The sequence below is a fragment of the Homo sapiens genome, chromosome 5 (genome assembly GCF_000001405.40).
Source record: "Homo sapiens chromosome 5, GRCh38.p14 Primary Assembly".
Lineage (NCBI taxonomy): Eukaryota > Metazoa > Chordata > Mammalia > Primates > Hominidae > Homo > Homo sapiens.
Genome location: NC_000005.10, coordinates 23,233,186 through 23,250,463, shown reverse-complemented (window position 1 = coordinate 23,250,463; position 17,278 = coordinate 23,233,186). Strand labels below are relative to the sequence as shown.

The window sequence follows — 17,278 nt, the reverse complement described above, 5'->3', positions numbered from 1 at the left end:
GCTTTATTTATGTAAAATCTGAATGTATTAATTATTGATACACTTGAATTAATAACAACAGATCAAATTGAATAATATTTATTCAGAATGACCCTAAGTTAGGAAAACAGGTGGGTAAGAAAATAATTTGTTTTGCTTTACTTTTTAAATGACAATTTAATTTCTTTTGGACAGAACAGAAACATAATTCTATCTATTCTTAGTTAAATATATTTTCCTCACTGTTGTATCCAACTTCTAGAATTATTACTGAGCTTCAGAAAATTCAAGGAAAGGGTCTAAGGCTACATCTGGGTCTTTAGTTGGAGATCATCTATCATTATTGGATTGTTTATTGCTCCTTTTAAGTCTATTCTTTCTGTCTGAATTTTGAGGGTTTTTTTTACAGTTATAAGAATCTCTGTGACTTGACATTTTATTTTTTATTTGCTTGTGGTTTCCTTTTTGGTTCTTAGAACATTTTTTAATTATTTTTGAGATGTAAATCACCCTTGTAAAAAAAATGACATTAGGTATTACATACAATAAAAGATGTTAGCTTCAACCCCAAACCCTGGTAAATACCACTAATAGTTGGCACTTGAAAAAAAAAAAATAGGCCAGTAGAACAGAAAAGAGAACCCAGAAATCAATCCCTACAATTACAGTAAATTCATTTTCAACAGAGATACCAAGACTGCACCATGCAGAAAGGACAAACTTGTCAATTAATGGTGCTGGGAAAAGTGAATATCTACATGCAAAAGAATTAAATTGGACCATCGTATCACTGCATATACAATAATCAACTAAAAATGAATTAAAGACTTAAATGTAACGCCTGAAACTATAAAACTACTAGAAGAAAACTTAGAGAAAAAGCTCCAGGATATTGATCTGGGCAATTTATTTTTGATATGATATCAAAGCACAGGAAACAAAAGCCAAAGTAGACAAATCGATTACATCAAACAAAAGAGCTCTGTAGAGCAAAAAAAAAAAAAAAAAAAGAAAAAGTGAAGAGACAACCTACAGAATGAGAGAATATATTTTCAATATATATATCTGATAAGGGGCTAATATCCAAAATAAACAAGAAATTCAGATAACTCAATTTTGTAAGAAAACTTTAAAAATTGGGAAAAGACCTAAATAGACATTTCTCAAAAGAAGACAAACGAATGGCTAACGGGTATATGAAAAAAATGCTCAACATTACTAATCATCAGGAAAATGCAAATTAAAACCAAAATGAGATTCTACCTCACACCTGTTAGAATAGCTGGTATCAAAAAGACAAAAGATAACAAGTGTTGGTGATGTGTGGAGAAAAGGGAACCCTCACACATTGTTGGTATGAATGTAAATTAATAAAGCCATTATGAAATACAGTATAAAGGCTTCTCAAAAAACTGAAAATGGAACTACCATATGATCCAGCAATCCCACTGCTGGGTATATATTTAAAGGATCTAAAATCAGTATGTTGCAGAGATATCTGCACTTCCATGTTCATTTCAGCATTATCTCCAGTAGCCATAATATGAAATCAAATAAGTGTCTATCAATGGATAAATGGATAAAGTGTTATATATACATATACACAATGGAATACTATTCAGCCTTAAGAAAGGACAAATTTCTGTCATTTGTAACATCATGTATAAACCTGAAGGTTATTATGTTAAGTTGAAATAAGCCAGGTACAGAGAGATAAATACCATATGATCTCACTTATGTATGTAGTGGAAAAAAGTAAAACTTACAGAGATGGAGGGTAAAATGGTGTCTACCAAAGGCTGCGATTGAGGGAACTGGGGACATGTTCATCAAAGGATACACACTTCCAGTTAGGCAGGAGGAATAAGTTCAAGATATCAACTTTACGTCATGGCGACTACAGCTAATAATAGATTTTAAGTGAAAATTGCTAATAATAGATTTTAAGTGTTCTCACCACACACACTCAAAACGGTATGTGAGGTAATGCATATGTTAAGTAGCTTAATTCAGCCTTTACACAAAGTATACATATTTTTTAAAATCATTTTTTGCATGATTTTAAAAAATCATTTTTTGCATACATATAATTTTTACTTGCAAATTACAATTAAAATTTAAAAATTGGTGGCTATATTTTCATGTCTTTTGCCTTTGAAATAATAGATCAAATTATGGCTAGTATATACATATAAACATTTTTCTCACTTATGTTCAATAATTCTTTTTTTCTTCATCTAGTTTTTTTTTTTTTTTTTGTCAATGCTAATCCATTGCTGGAACAATTTTATAACATTTAAAAAATCTTAGTCTAGAAATAAATACATTTCCTTGTTGGGTTTTTATTTCTCTTTATTTTTTTTATAACTCATTGGATAACTCTGCATTCTCATATTATTAATAACAGAAAAATATCATGTTCATTGATGTTATAGCACCACTATATTTATTTTATTCAAATTCTTCTGCAATCCTTTCAAAAGTGAATAAAAACAGTAACAAAATACAACCTTAAATGCTAACATTTAATTATTTTAGTTAATATGCAGCATTACAAAATGTACACTTAGAATATAAAAATTAAAAAGGAGTATTTGCCCTGAAGTTACAAGTTACAATCATTCTCTTTTATCACTCCTCATTCTAAATTTATTTTCCTTACAATCACTTTTAAGTCATTAAGGTTATCTGCTATTTGCTTTCATACTTCTAATTTACTACCATTTCTTGCTTTTTTTTACATGCTTCATATATTGATGTTAATGTGGAATGAAGTCTATGATATCTTAAATTTGCCACTGCCTGTACACATAACTTTATTTTCATTTTCCTAAAACGCTCAATAAAATTTAACCACCTTTTTGGTGCTATTAGTATTCAATTTTTACATTATGTGACTGAGTAAAAATTCAGATCTAAGACAGAATATGTTACGATTACATTGCCTTTATTGATTTTGAGTGTCTTTATTAAAGATGTAATTTTCTAATTTATTTTGTTTTCTAACTTTGTATACTGTATTAGTCCATTCTAACATTGCTAATAAAGACATACCCGAGACTGGGTAATTTATAAAAGAAAGTTAAACTCAACAGTTCAGCATGGCTGGGGAAGCCTCAGGAAATTTACAATCATGGCAGAAGGCGAAGAGGAAGCAAGGCAGCTTCTTCACAGGGCGGCAGGAAGGAGAACTGGAAACAGGGGAAGTGTCAGACACTTACAAAACATATAACACGATCGACTGGGCACTGTGGCTCACGCCTGTAATCCCAGCAGTTTGGGAGGCTGAGGTGGGCAGATCACCTGAGGTCAGGAGTTTGAGACCAGCCTGACCAACATGGAGAAACCACGTCTCTACTAAAAATATAAAATTAACTGGGCGAGGTGGCACATTGGCACATGCCTGTAATCACAGATACTCGGGAGGCTGAGGCAGGAGAATTGCTGGAACCTGGGAGGCAGAGGTTGTGGTGAGCAGAGGTTGCAGTGAGCTGAGATCGCACCACTGCACTCCAGCCTGGGCAACAAGAGTGAAACTCTGTCTCAAAATAAAAATTTAAAACAAAACAAAACATCAGATCTCCTGAGAGCTCACTCACTATCATGAGAACAACATGGGGGAACCGCCCCCACGATTTACCTCCACCTGGTCCCACCCTTAACATTGAGGATTATGAGAATTACAATTCAAGGTGAGATTTGGGTGGGGACACAGAGTCAAACCATATCATGTACTTACGAATTCATTTTCAAATACTAACTGTATTAGTCAGGGTTCTTTAAGAGGGACAGAACTAATAGGATAAATGTACATAAAAAGGGGAGTTTATTAAGGAGTATTAACTCACACGATCACAAGGTCTCACAATAGGCCATCTTCAAGCTGAGGAGCAAGGAAGCCAGTCCTGGTCCCAAAGCTGAACTTGGAGTCCAAGATTTGAGGGCAGGAAACATCTAGCATGGGAGAAAGATGGAGGTCAAGAGGCTAAGTTTGCTGATCTCTCTACAGTCTTCTGCCTGCTTTTATTCTGGTCATGCTGGCAGCTGATTAGATTGTGCCCACTCACATTAAGTGTGGGTCTGCCTTTCCCAGTCCACTGATTCAAAGGTTAATCTCCTTTGGCAACACCCTAACAGACACACCCAGGATCAATACTTTGCATCCTTCAATCCAATCAAGTTGACATTTAGTATTAACCATCACACTAACAAATACAAAAAAAAATCTTCTGCTATTATGTTCAAAGACATTAGCTTTTATTTCTAAAGTTTCTCATCATTTTTCCTCCCTTTTCTTTCCTCTGTCTTTTCCTTTCTTCATTCCCTTTTTATTCCCTCCTTGGAGATAGCTCTCCTAGTGTCCTTCTTTGTTATTCTTGCAAATTTTTCTCCTGAGTATTTTTATTCTCCATTATTCTGAAAATGTGTTTACCTTATTGTTAAACAGGATCACTTATTTGCAATTACAGCATTTCTTATATTCCTCTGTCTTTGTTTACTCCCACAATTGGATGGAACACATTCTTCAGTAACTTTTTGAGAAGTTCACGGAGTTGGTGAAGTATCTGTTTAGAGAAACATGATTGATAAAATATTTTTTGATACTTTCCCATAAGTCGTGGCTTCACATAAATAATTCTGGATTTTAAAGGATGTTCTCTCAAAATATGGAGACTTTTTTTCTTGATATTCTATATTCCAGTTGTAAAAGCCACTTAGATGTCTAAACACTTTAGAGTAAACAATTTCCCCTTCCTCTCAAATTTTACAATGATAGGTTTTGGTATGGGGTTATAAATTTATTTATTTTTTCCTTTTATTGGTCTTTTTCTTTTGGAATATTCATTTCATTTCAAAATAATAATTTATATCTTTAATTTAGTATATTTTCTTATTTAACTTATTTTTATATCCTCATATTTTCTTATTTATTGTATTCTGCAATTCACATTCTGAGGATGTTGGAGAATGCTAATATTTGTATCTTTAGTATTTTTTTAATCTATATAAATTTTTTCAATCCATGAGGAATTTTCTCAACTTGTATCTTATAATATTTTGCATGTCTCATCTCTTATTTTGGGTCACGCCTGTAATCCCAGCACTTTGGAAGGCTGGAGCGGGCAGATCACCTGAAGTCAGGAGTTCGAGACCAGCCTGACCAACATGGAGAAACCCCGTCTCTACTAAAAAAATACAAAATTAGCTGGGCATGGTGGCACACATCTGTAATCCCAGCTACTCAGGAGGCTGAGGCAGGAGAATTGCTTGAACGCGGGAGGCGGAGTTTGCAGTGGTGAGCCGAGATCGGGCGCCATTGCACTCCAGCCTGGGGCAACAAGGGCAAAACTCCGTCTCTCAAAAAAATATTGACCACTATTCTTTTTTTTTTTTTTTTTTTTTTTTTTTTTACAAATACAGTGTTTCCTCTTCCAATTTTGAGAAGATTTCTTATTTTTAAAGGTTTGTCTCAAAGTATATACATGCATATTTTTCATTTAAATCATTTTTCCTTTTCTTAGCTTTGAAATATGTCTTTCATTATATATTTTCCTGAAATGCCTTGATAATTTTCATTGTGATATCAGTAAGCTTAACTACCTATGCTGAAATTTAAAAATCTTTACAGTCTTAGGACTAAAGCAGTGCTTAATTTCTGTCTGTTGCTAACCATTCATAAAAGTGTGTGTTGGGGATTCTGCTCTGTGTCATCATCATGTTCCCTCTTTGACCCAGGCTGATGGAGTGGAAGTGATGGATTGTGAGATATAGTTTGGCTCTTTGTCCCCACCCAAATCTCATATTGAATTGTAATCCCCCATGTTGGGGGAGGGCCCTGGTGGGTGGTGATTGAATCATAAGGGAGGACTTCCCCCTTGCTATTCTCATGATAGTGAATGTGTTCTCAAAATATCTGTTTGTTTAAAAGTGTGTAGCAGTTCCCCCTTCACTTTCCCTTCCTCCTGCTCTGCCACATGAAGAAGGTGCTTGCTTCCCCTTCACCCTTCACCCATGATTGTAAGTTTCCTGAGGCCTCCCCAACCATGCTTCCTGTACAGTCTGTGGAAATATGAGTCACTTAAGCCTCTTTTCTTCATAAATTACCTTGTCTCAGGTAGTTCTTCAAAGCAGTGTGGGAATGGACTAATACAGATTGTATCCAATGACCATGGCACAAAGAAGCTCTTAAAGTTTCTATCCAAGAATGAAAAAATCCACTTTTACTCACATTCTGTTGACCAAAACAAATCCTGAGGCTAAGCCTAAATTCAACATGCTGAAAAGTGAAAAAACAAAACAAAACAAAAAAAAAACCACTTTTACTCACATACTCACATTCTGTTGACCAAAACAAATCCTGAAGCTAAGCCTAAATTCAACACGCTGAAAACTACAACTCTGACATATGGCAAGAAGAGAAAAAATAAACAATTTAGGAAAATGATTAAATGGTGCGTAGTTGTGCCTTTATAATTAGTAATGAGGCACCAAAATGCTTTAAAAGCCTGAGTGGGACTAATTGATAAGAAAAACTTTTAAAATACAGATTCTCAAATTTTATTTTCTGGCGTTTCATCTCCTTGACAAATAAATGTTCACAGAAAGAAATTCTCCTAGCCCTTACCTTGAAAATTGCAGTTAGGGCAACAGTCCAGCCTCAGACATTGTGGAAACCAGGTTGAGAGAAGTTGTAGAACTTTCATCTTCAATGTGTAGACCCAGTTTTCAAGATGGCACTACACCTCCATATTTAGTGTGTCTGTTTTAGGTGAGTCCAGAATTAACAGCTCCATAGGATGTGAATTTTGATTGTGTCTATAGCTAACAGAATTCATACTTTTTAGTTTTTTGGAGGGCATTGTTGTGGAGGTAGGAAAGAGCATATATGCTTCTAAATTCTTCCTTTAAAACCTTCAAACAATCTAATTTTTTCAGCTCATTGGACTCTGCCCAGGAGCATTATCTCTATAGAATCCACTAGCATTTGTTTTCAATACTTTTTCAGCTCTCTTTATTTTCTGTATACTTACATACAAAATTATATAGTATTCTTCACTTGATCTTAGCCAAAAGGCTGAGAAGCGATAAAATTATTTATTATTCTTATCTTGGTTTATCCATTTTGATTTTGGGAGAAACCCTAAATTTGGAAGTGTTTATTTTGGACTATTCATAAGAGACAGAATAAAGTGATGGCATTATTTCCAGTTTGCTGGAGAATGATTAAATGTCCTTGTGACAGTAGGAATACCAAATGAAGCCATTTAATACTCTCATTAAAATATTAATATAATTTTATTGCCTGAAATCATCTAATACTGAATCTTAAAATATATATTTATTATGGGAATATACTACTGATAGGCTGAAAAATGCTGAACATGCAGTAATATAAAATGTAAAATTTACTGAGAGTAGCTTAGGTGGTAAATCCAGATTTCTCCAATAATGGCAGAGGATTAATTGGTGCCATGTATATAATTGTTGTCTTTTTTAAAACTTGATAACAATTGTAAACGTAATAAAGCTTCATGACCATTCAAACTGCTGGAATCAAGATAATTAAGGTATACTTAAATCTAGATAACACCGAGAGTTAATTTAAGTAGTGATTGAGCTTGAACATTCACAAAGTAACATGCAAGATACATAACCTAACGCAATGGAGTCAATTTGTCAATCAACAATTTAACATGGAACATTTATTTATTTTTATCCTTTTTTTAGTTTGATAAGCTTTTATAAATACAGAGGTTTAATCAAAATACTATATAAGGCATTGTCTGCTGAGTTTCTAAGCAAGAATAAATTTTCAAATATATAGGCAATATAATTCAGTGTGAATTTTCCTAGTGTATTTAAAGCTTGACAAATGTGCTGGGTGTATAGCTACTTTTTCTTAGCTACAAAATCACCTTTCCATACTGTGTTGTGAATGCTAAGTCTGTGAATCTTCATATCACATTTTTCCTATACCAGCTGACTCAGTGAAAGGTTCTTCCTATAGTAACTGATCGTAGGAATGAGAGGGCACTTGGCTTCCTGTTTCTTTCTGCGTCACCCAAATTATTGATGTTTACCCTGAGGATGGCAACTGTTCCACCTATAGTTAGGTCCAATTTCCTGTTTTTGTTCCAAATCTGCCACGGCATTTCATTATCCTGTTTTCACACATACTAGAACCAGCTGATGTGGGGGCTGGCGGAGGAGGTCGTAAGAAATCTGAGTTCTCCTGAACTTTTAACAATGCCAGCTTCTTCTCTTTATCCCCTGTAGCCCTAGGAATCTCAACTGCTTTCTGTGGTAACCGGGTTCCCCTGTCCTTTTTTTATCTTTTCATTCCTTATGTACATGGTTAAACCATTCTTTATAGAAAAGTCCTCTTTGCTTACTACTGTTTGATAGCACAAGGTGACTATAGTCAATAAAAACTTAATTGTACATTTTAAAATAGCTAGAAACATGTAATTGAATTGTTTGTAACCCAAAGGATAAATGCTTCAGGGGACGGACGCCCCATTCTCCATGGTGTGATTATTTCAAATTGCATAACTGTAACAGAGCATTTAATGTACCTCATAAATATATACACCTACTATAAACCCACAAAAATTAAAAATTTTAAAATTTTTAAAAATCCTCTCTTTAAATAATTTGTGTTGTCTCTTTTCAAGGAAGTTAGTAGGGATTTAAGCAGTCAAGTGAGATTTGATAAAAACATTAAAATGTCTGTGTCTTTGAAAGATGATTACAATGTGGGTGTCAGAGAAGAGAAGGGGTAACACGGACCAAGAAGCAGAAGTAACGATGAATAGAGAATTTGTAGCAGAGAAGAAAAGTGAAGACTTGAATAATTAGGACAGAAGATGTGTGCTGGAAACTAAATCAGACAGGCGTAACAATTGGACAGTTTGTTGATAACTCTTACTATGGGATGTAAATGGCCTTATAATAAAAAGAATAAGTGGCATATATAACAAAGATATTAAAGGCCTTGAAAACCAATAAAAAACCTTTAAGGGAAATCATATTGCTATTATAAGTTGGTCCAACCAACAGAAAAAAATTCTATAAATAGAAAAGAAAATATTTTATTTTAATTTTCTGTGGCTATGGCTATGATTAGTTTGAAAGTGTGTAACTATAGTAGATATTTGAGACTGAAATAAAAAGCTATCGGAGATACATTATTTATTGAGATTGAAAGAAATCGAAGTGTCAAAGTGACTTTATGGCTTTAGAACTACTCATAGAAATGAGATATTAGGTTTAAAAGTGATTCCAGGAAGTCAGGAGGTGGGAGCAATGAGAAGGTTAGAATCTGAATTTCGATTGTGTTGAGTTAGCAGTAACGGCAGGATCTTTAAAAGAAGATGTCATAAAGGTGGGTAGAAATATATTTCTCTTTTACTGTAGGAGAGAAAGAGAGAGAAACAGATGTGTAACCATACTAAAATATAAGGTGTGTGTATAATTCTAGTGCAGTAATATGGAAATCACTTTGAAATAAACCATTTTCTAGGAAAATCTGAGAATATAAATATATTTTTAGAGTTAGAAACAGAGAAATATAACATTTATTGACATGAAACAACACAGCAACACAATGCTTTTGTGTGATACTATTTACACATATATGTAAATCCCTTTCTGTTTTACTGAGGCATCTTAACTTACATGAAATTATATTGGTTTTATTTTGGGCAGTCACTGATTTTAACTCTGCTTTGTAGAATTTCTCTGTCCTTTGTGTGAGTGTGTCTATGTGTATGTGTGTGTGTGTGTGTGTGTGTGGTCACTTACTACCCTGGGAGGTTGCATAGCATTCTAGTCACTTTCATTTATGAAAAGCAATCACAGAACAGACTGGATTTGTCGACAAGACGTTCCCAAAAGGGAGACAAGATTATGGTCTGCTTTCCAAGTTCTCACACTCCAGGACCTTGGCTCTCAAATGAGAGTGTGTCTTTCCCTCCTCTTTCTCCCTGCTCTGCTCTATTGATTGGGTCAAAAACTTCTTCTGTTAGGGTACAGGAAGGGTGGGGTAATGGAGGCAGAGTTTTTCCTATGTAAGTCTTCACTGCCAAGGAGGTAAGTCCTTGGCCTAATAGGGATTTATTCTGTCCGCTGCCAGGGGCTCAAGCTGTATTCTCCAAACAGAGTGTGGATGTCTGTGGTGTCCTCTGGGCCATGTTCAGCTTGCTCCAGCTGAACTTCTGTCACTCACAACACTCAATACAGTACACCCATGTCCCTCTAAACCCAGTGTCTTATTCTGGTTGTGCTGCTACAACAGAATATCTGAGACTGGGTAATTTATAATAAGCAGAAATTTATTTTCTTACAGTTCCAGAGGCTGTGAAGCCCTAAGTTCAAGAAACTGGCATCTGGCAAGTGCCTTCTTGCCGTGTCACCTTATAGCAGAAGACAGGAGAACTCGAGAGAGAGCCCATTCCTCAAAGCCCTTTTAATAACAGCATAAATCTAACCATGAGGACATATTTCTCATGACCTAAACAGCTCTCATTAGGTTATACCTCCCAATACAATTGTATTGGGGATTAAGTTTCCAACAGGTGAATGTTGGGAGACATATTTAAACCATAGCTCACCTTTGCTTATGCAGCTTTGTGTATTTTTGCCAGAGTTCTGCCTCCTCCTTTAGTTTTCTGGCTTCTTCACTGTAAACACTGGAAAAACAGAGGACTTTTTTATGTCTTTAAAGGATCACAAAGAATGGCATGGAGATTCATGTACATGGGTTTAATTGCATTTATTTTCTTCCCAGGTTCTTCTACACTATGGTAACATAAGTCCTCCTTACTAAACCTCCAGACTAGTAATTAGGCACCATTATCTTTCATATATACCCACAACTCCAGGAAACACATGTCAATCTCTCTCTAGAACTCCCTCACTACCATTTCCCCTCCCTTAACAGGCCTCCCTGAAGAGGGCCTATGGGTTCTGCAGCCCTCCTAAGTTTGGACAAAGGAGCAACAGACCAAATGCTGTTTCACTCAGGGATGGCTGCTCATGTCTGCCATTGATTCTTTTGAATGGCTCTGCTCTTATTGTTTAATGTGCCATAGTACATATAAAATCCCTTATATCATATATAGGTATTGAAAATATTCTAATTAAGAAAAAATAGCTAAATATATTATGATCTTTCTTACTACTGTGATAAATATTCCTACATAAAGTTGAAATAAATTATCAAGTGTAAAGTGACAGACTGTATCACATATTCAGTCTCTCTTTCTAACCACTTGGGAAATTTGTGAAACAAACTCCCATTCTCTCTCACTCAATGGAGAGCTCTTTCCATTTCTTCCTGAGGTCTTCCTGTTTTCTCACCCATTATCCCTCTTCTACTCGTACCATGCAGGGACCTCTTAAAGGGCCCGAGGGCAGAAATAATAATTTTTTCCACACTCCAAATTAAGAACCAGGCAGTATCTGACCACGAAGTGCTCTATGGGAATCAACTTGCTTCCATCTTTGTTTTTTAAAACAATATGGGACTAAAAGGCAGAATTTGAAATTAAAATTATCCTGCTTCTAAGAATTGGCACATGGCAGAGAAAAGAGAGCTATCCTCGTACCAATCAATGGCTATCCTTGGTTTTGTTTTTGTTTTTGTTTTTTCAACCCAGGCCGCTTCTAGCACCTGGAAAACTTTTGTGGGCTTATGTGCATCTTCAAAAGAACTCCCAAGCAGATAATCCTTGGGCATCCAACATCATTAGAACTGTGCACAGTGGCTCTGATCTGCCCTTGGGAAATTAGATCCTGAGAAAAGACCTGTTTATGTTGTAATACAGTTTTGAGATTTGTGCTGAAAATTACATAGTTCTAGTCTCTTGAAACGTGGTCAAGAAGGGGCATACTGAGTGCTGGAGAAACATAATTTAAAACAAAATATTCTTCCAACCCAGAAAATCTTTCCGTAAGGGTGAAGAGAAAGAATAACAGTTTAAATCTTTAATAAGCATTAAACCAGAATGGAATGCACATCCCATGCCATTCTCTAAGAGATTGCAAAGATAGAAAGAAATCTCACCTTTTTGTATAGTCAAGCAGATACAACCCGTTGCATACAAGTTCTCAAGATTAACAATAAGTAGTCCTCAAGTATGAGGACTTGACAACACCACTTGTCACACACAGTTCATCCTAAAATCACTTGGTGGTTGAAGTGACCATCTGTGTTGGCTGATTGGCTTTTTCCAAAGAAAAAATAAACTTCTCATATCTTTATGATAGTAGATTTGCCACTTGGAGCAAGATTTCCACAGAAGTTTGGCTCTTACACTCCTACAGAAACTTGGAGATAGGGGTGGGGCATGAAAATAGGGTTTGGAGGCAGGGAACATAAGGCCAATTCACACTTCAGCTATAACAGGAAACATGCTCTCCATAGGGCATACACAGTAAATGACTTTGTAGCTTTACTTAATCTTCTTCATTTACATAGGGCGTACCCCAAGCAGAGAGTATTTAAACTCCAAAAAACCTCTGTAACAGGGTCTTTGAGCCACTATATTCAGGCCCAATCCCATGTTGTAGAGTATACTTTCATTTTCTTTTCTTTTTTTTTTTTTGAGACAGAGTTTCACTCTTGTTGCCCAGGCTGGAGTGCAATGGTGCGATCCCGGCTCACCTCAATCTCCGCCTCCTGGGTTCAAGTGACTCTCCTGCCTCAACCTCCGGAGTAGCTGGGATTACAGTCATGAGCCAACACGCCCGGCTAATGCTGTATTTTTAGTAGAGATGGGGTTTCACCATGTTGGTCAGGCTGGTCTCGAACCCCCAACCTTAGGTGATCCGCCTGCCTTGGCCTCCCAAAGTGCTAGGATTACAGGTGTGAGCCACCACGCCTGGCCAAAAAAAAGAAATCCCTTCATTCCTTCCTTGCTTTGTGCGTTTTGTCCAATTATTTGTTCAAGATGCCAAGAACCTGGACACTCTCCACCATTACCATACTTTGGTGAGCCAGCCCGGAGGAAGAGGTAAGCCCAAAGTTTGGGATTTATTCTTCTCCTTTCTTTTTTTCCTTTATGCTCCATACAGGGGAATCTCTTTCTCTCTCTTTTCCTTTCCAGCTTGGTTTAGGAGGACACTCTGTGGGTCCTGCAGTCCTCAGCCTGCCCAAAAGGGACGCCCTTGGCAGAGGTTCTGAGGTCGAGTATTAAGCCCTTCTTAGAATTTTCCCTCCCAGTTGCAATGCTGCTTGGCCCCAAAATTGTTTAGAATATGAAGTTTACTGTGTAATGAGAAAGTGGAATGGCATTGCCGTGTCCAGGCTGTTGTGCTGCTGTTCTAAGCAGGGGGGCAGGGGGCCTGGTTAACAGGTGATGCCCTCCTTTGGTACTGTTTGACCCCAGTGCTCCTTGGAGTCTGGGGAGATTTAGCCCTTAAAAATTAAACTGCCGTGGAGACCGCTTTACCGAAAATTCTGGTTCACAACCTTCCTCGGGTTATCTATTGGGGCAAAGTAAAACCTGCAAGCTTGTAGTGCTATCTCACAGCTAAGGTTCCAAGCTACTAGATCTTCATTTATATGTGTGTATGGATGTCTAGATGTGTTTATTTGTATGTACACATACTATTATATGTTGTGTCTACCAAACTGGCTTATAAGTAAAAGAGCGCTCACAAGTTAAGTAAATGAGTCTAAGCAATTTTCAAGCTCACGTGACCTAAGTATAACTTTACTAAACAAGCTGGCTTTAAAACTATTGGTGGAATAAAAATAGAAATGCCTTCGTGATTGTCAGCATACATTTTGTCTGGATTTTACGTTTGTCTTTGCTGGATATTTTAAAATGTCAGTGTGTTAATTCAAGCTGGGAGATGCTAAGAGAGAGGCTGCCTCCCATTTTGTTCACAGTCTCACTGAGATAAATGCACATCTGATTGCTTCCTTTAGAAAGGCTAATCAGAAACTCAAAAGAATGCAACCTTTGTCTCCCACCTGTGATCTGAAAACCCCCAAGCCCCACTCCTTACCTCAAGTGGTCCCGCCTTTTGGAACCAAACATATGTTGATTGATGTCTCCTGTCTCCCTTATTAAAAGTAAAAATTAAGTACAGTGAATGAGATAAATGTTTTAGGTAAGTTTTTTATGTGAATTAAAATCTTAAGGTTATTTTTGATGCCCATTTAGTATCTGGATCATTTCCAATTAAGAAAGGGCTGTGATAAGGGGAAAATTCTGGATTTTTTCTATCTATAAATATGCATATCTAATTCTCTTTAACATGTAATTCTGTACACAAAATGTGCCAGAAAGGGTTATGCTGTTAGTGAAAAAAAGAAAAAGAATAATTTTATCTAATGCAGACGTTATCTAAAAGTTCAAATTACAGATTTGAAAGGTTATTTATGAAACAATGTAGTAAGAAATCATTAAGTAGGGGAGGAAGATGTGGAAAAATTTAAATAATAGAATATTCTTTAAATCCAGATAAAGAAATGATTATATTTGGCTAAGAAACATTTTCATAGTTAAAGTCCTTGGTCTTAATTAAAGTAAAATAAGAGGTATTGTAAAGAAATGCATCGGCAGTTTGTCAATTCTTTTTTAACATAGTTAAGCATGAAGCTGAATTTAGCATAAAGCCAAATTTCACATCCATGCTTGCATTGCTTCACACCACGTTTGCCGTTTTGCATGGATAGTGCTGGAGTACTTATTTTGGCCATAAGCCTAAAGCGAATGTCTTAATTGCACTGAATGTACAATGATATTGGTGAACTCAAGGATATTGGATTGTGTATCAGCAATAAAATATTCATTATGTGGGTTTTTTTTTGGGGCCCTGAGTCTGTAGCCTCTAGGGTAAATTGAGTAGGAAAATTTAGGGTTGGTTTCCTGCTTACTTGTTTTTGCTTCTGGTTTTCATTCATTTACTGTTTATTCTCCTCTGGCTTTGCTTGGGTATCCATATATATATAAAACCATGACACTTTCTAGTTTCTAGTGGAAGGCTTTTATTTGGTTCTGTTATTTTGTTTTCTATACATTTCTAGTGAGTCATCATCTGTTTCATTTATCTGGCATTCCTAAGCTACCTTTGTCGGGCTGCAGGAATTAATGGAACACACCAGTTTCTAAGCAAACTTTTTGGATTTTAGGCTTCCTGATGCTGTAAGTGTGGTTAGTATACTCTCACAAGTAGAATTTGAGTCATATTTCTCTATCTCTGCCTAGTTTTTCCAAAATTTGTAAACTATCTATGAATATTCTTAATTCATGGCAATGTGTTTGTTTGCATACAGTCAAGCAGGGTCACCAGGACCGCTCAGGGAGAGAGAACCCAGAAACCTAGCATGCCAGCAAAAGGGTAAGAATTTCTAACCACTCAGTCTCTGGCCTCTTGCTCTCTGTGCAAACTGGTTAATCTCCTCTGTGAAGTCTTTAATTGACTGCTTTAATAATAATAACTTAACTCAAATATTTTGTCAGAAAAATAGAAAGTGTAACGCCTGTCAGTTCACAAGACTTTAGCAATCTTTGGGAAATAAAGATAGTTTTCAAGATTATTGGTAAAATAGGATTGTCTTCAAAATGTAAACACATGGTCTAAATTATGGTCAAATATTAGGTTTGCTAAATGCTTGCAGGTCATAAATTGCTTCTTTGGCTTTTGAAAATTGTTTAACTTGCCTCCCTTCTGATACCACTCCAATGAGTGGAGGAACACCAGTTTCTTCGTCTGGAGTTGAATTAGATAAAAATGACACAAAAACATGTGGAGTGGTTTTAAGGAGTGGAGAATTTAACAGGCAAGATAGAAGGGAGAAGAAAGAAGGAAGAAGCTCCCCTGTACAGAGACAGAGGGAGAGAGGCTCAAAAGGCGAGAGAGGAGACCCCACGTTCAGGAATACCAGCCAGTTATATGAGATGGCTGGATAAGGCGGTGTCTGATTTGCATAGAATTCAGGGGATTGGTTTGACCAGGCATGTCATTCACGTAGCCAGAGAAAAAAACTGGCCCCCCTACTCTAGCCTTTTAATATGGAAATGCAGGGTGCCATGATGTTCTTACACACATGGGGTTATGTGGGGGCAACCATGCTGTCAGACACATGTGGGGGCAAGGGCAAGAGGACAAAAGTGGGAATCACCATGATGGGTGGACTCAGTTTCTAAAGGCTGGCGTTTGCATATTAAAGGTTGACCACCCTGCTATGTTGGGTGGACCCAGTTTCTAATGGCCTGCATTTGCATATCAAAGGTTGTCTGCCCGGGTCTAAGAGCCAGGGCTTTTCTGCTAGACAAACATTTCTGGAGCTGCTTTAAAAATGAAAACTTTCCAAGGACCCCTTTTCCTCTCTATCTGCCTAAAATAACTTAACTCCTACCACACTTCTAGCTAGGTAAGGCCTGGGGTTGTGTGGAATTGGCCACACCCTTTTTTGTTTGCTGGAAAACAATAAAGTTTGCTGGAAACAGGCAAACCTTATCAGAACACAACCCACGAGGTTTTACATTAAAGTTAAAATTGCTAAGAGTTGCCGTTGTAACATGCAATTAAGACTATTAGAAACAGTTTTACATGCAAGATGTGTAAAAACAGTAGAATGTGTTTTTTGTTGTTGTTGTTTTGTAAAATGTTATAAAAGGTTTTTTGCTTCTTTAAAATTTCTGAGTCATCATTTTGGTAAAATAAATAATTTATGGTAATCTAGAATTCCAAAATCAAACTTCAGTTTCAAAATTGCCTTTCCTAATGCCTGGCTTTCTAGATGGATCAGAGGGCCCCTGAATCATCCAGAAAAGAGGTAAGCAGGATTATTTGACCTGTTTAGGTACGTGGGATTGCCACAATGATGTTCAATCTTCTTTAGTTTATATTTTTGTGACTAATACTAATATATATTCTAAAATTGTATGGGATTTCTAAAATTCTAATGTCTAAGTACATACTACCAGTCACGATTATATTTATCATGCTAAATTATTGTAAACCACAGAAATGACCAAATTTCCTTCTCAGTGGTATGCACCTAATTTGCAAAAACAACTGGTATCCAAGAGGATATAAGTCTAATGTTAATTAAGCATGGAGAAACAGGATGGCCACCTTGTCCTTCCTGAGTCCTTAAAGCTTTTATTATTAAAAGTTATGAATTCCATGACTCATCATGGAAAAGATATAATGATCCTAATTGAATACATTGGTTGGTGACTTCCCAATTACTAAAATAGTTTATAACCAATGCTTGATACCATATTTCTGGGAAACAATTAAAGCTTCAGGTACATTTGGTCACCTGATGGGACAT

General features: G+C 36.3%; 2 annotated features.

The window, feature by feature from the left end:
* Positions 15,291 to 16,097: an enhancer, noted in NCBI's record as "OCT4-NANOG-H3K27ac hESC enhancer chr5:23234476-23235282 (GRCh37/hg19 assembly coordinates)". NCBI's record gives its function as "activates a minimal SCP1, AML or CMV promoter by ChIP-STARR-seq in naive H9 embryonic stem cells {active_cell/tissue: H9 hESC(naive)}" and the evidence as "EXISTENCE:reporter gene assay evidence [ECO:0000049][PMID:30033119]".
* Positions 16,098 to 16,905: an enhancer, noted in NCBI's record as "OCT4-NANOG-H3K27ac hESC enhancer chr5:23233668-23234475 (GRCh37/hg19 assembly coordinates)". NCBI's record gives its function as "activates a minimal SCP1, AML or CMV promoter by ChIP-STARR-seq in primed H9 embryonic stem cells {active_cell/tissue: H9 hESC(primed)}" and the evidence as "EXISTENCE:reporter gene assay evidence [ECO:0000049][PMID:30033119]".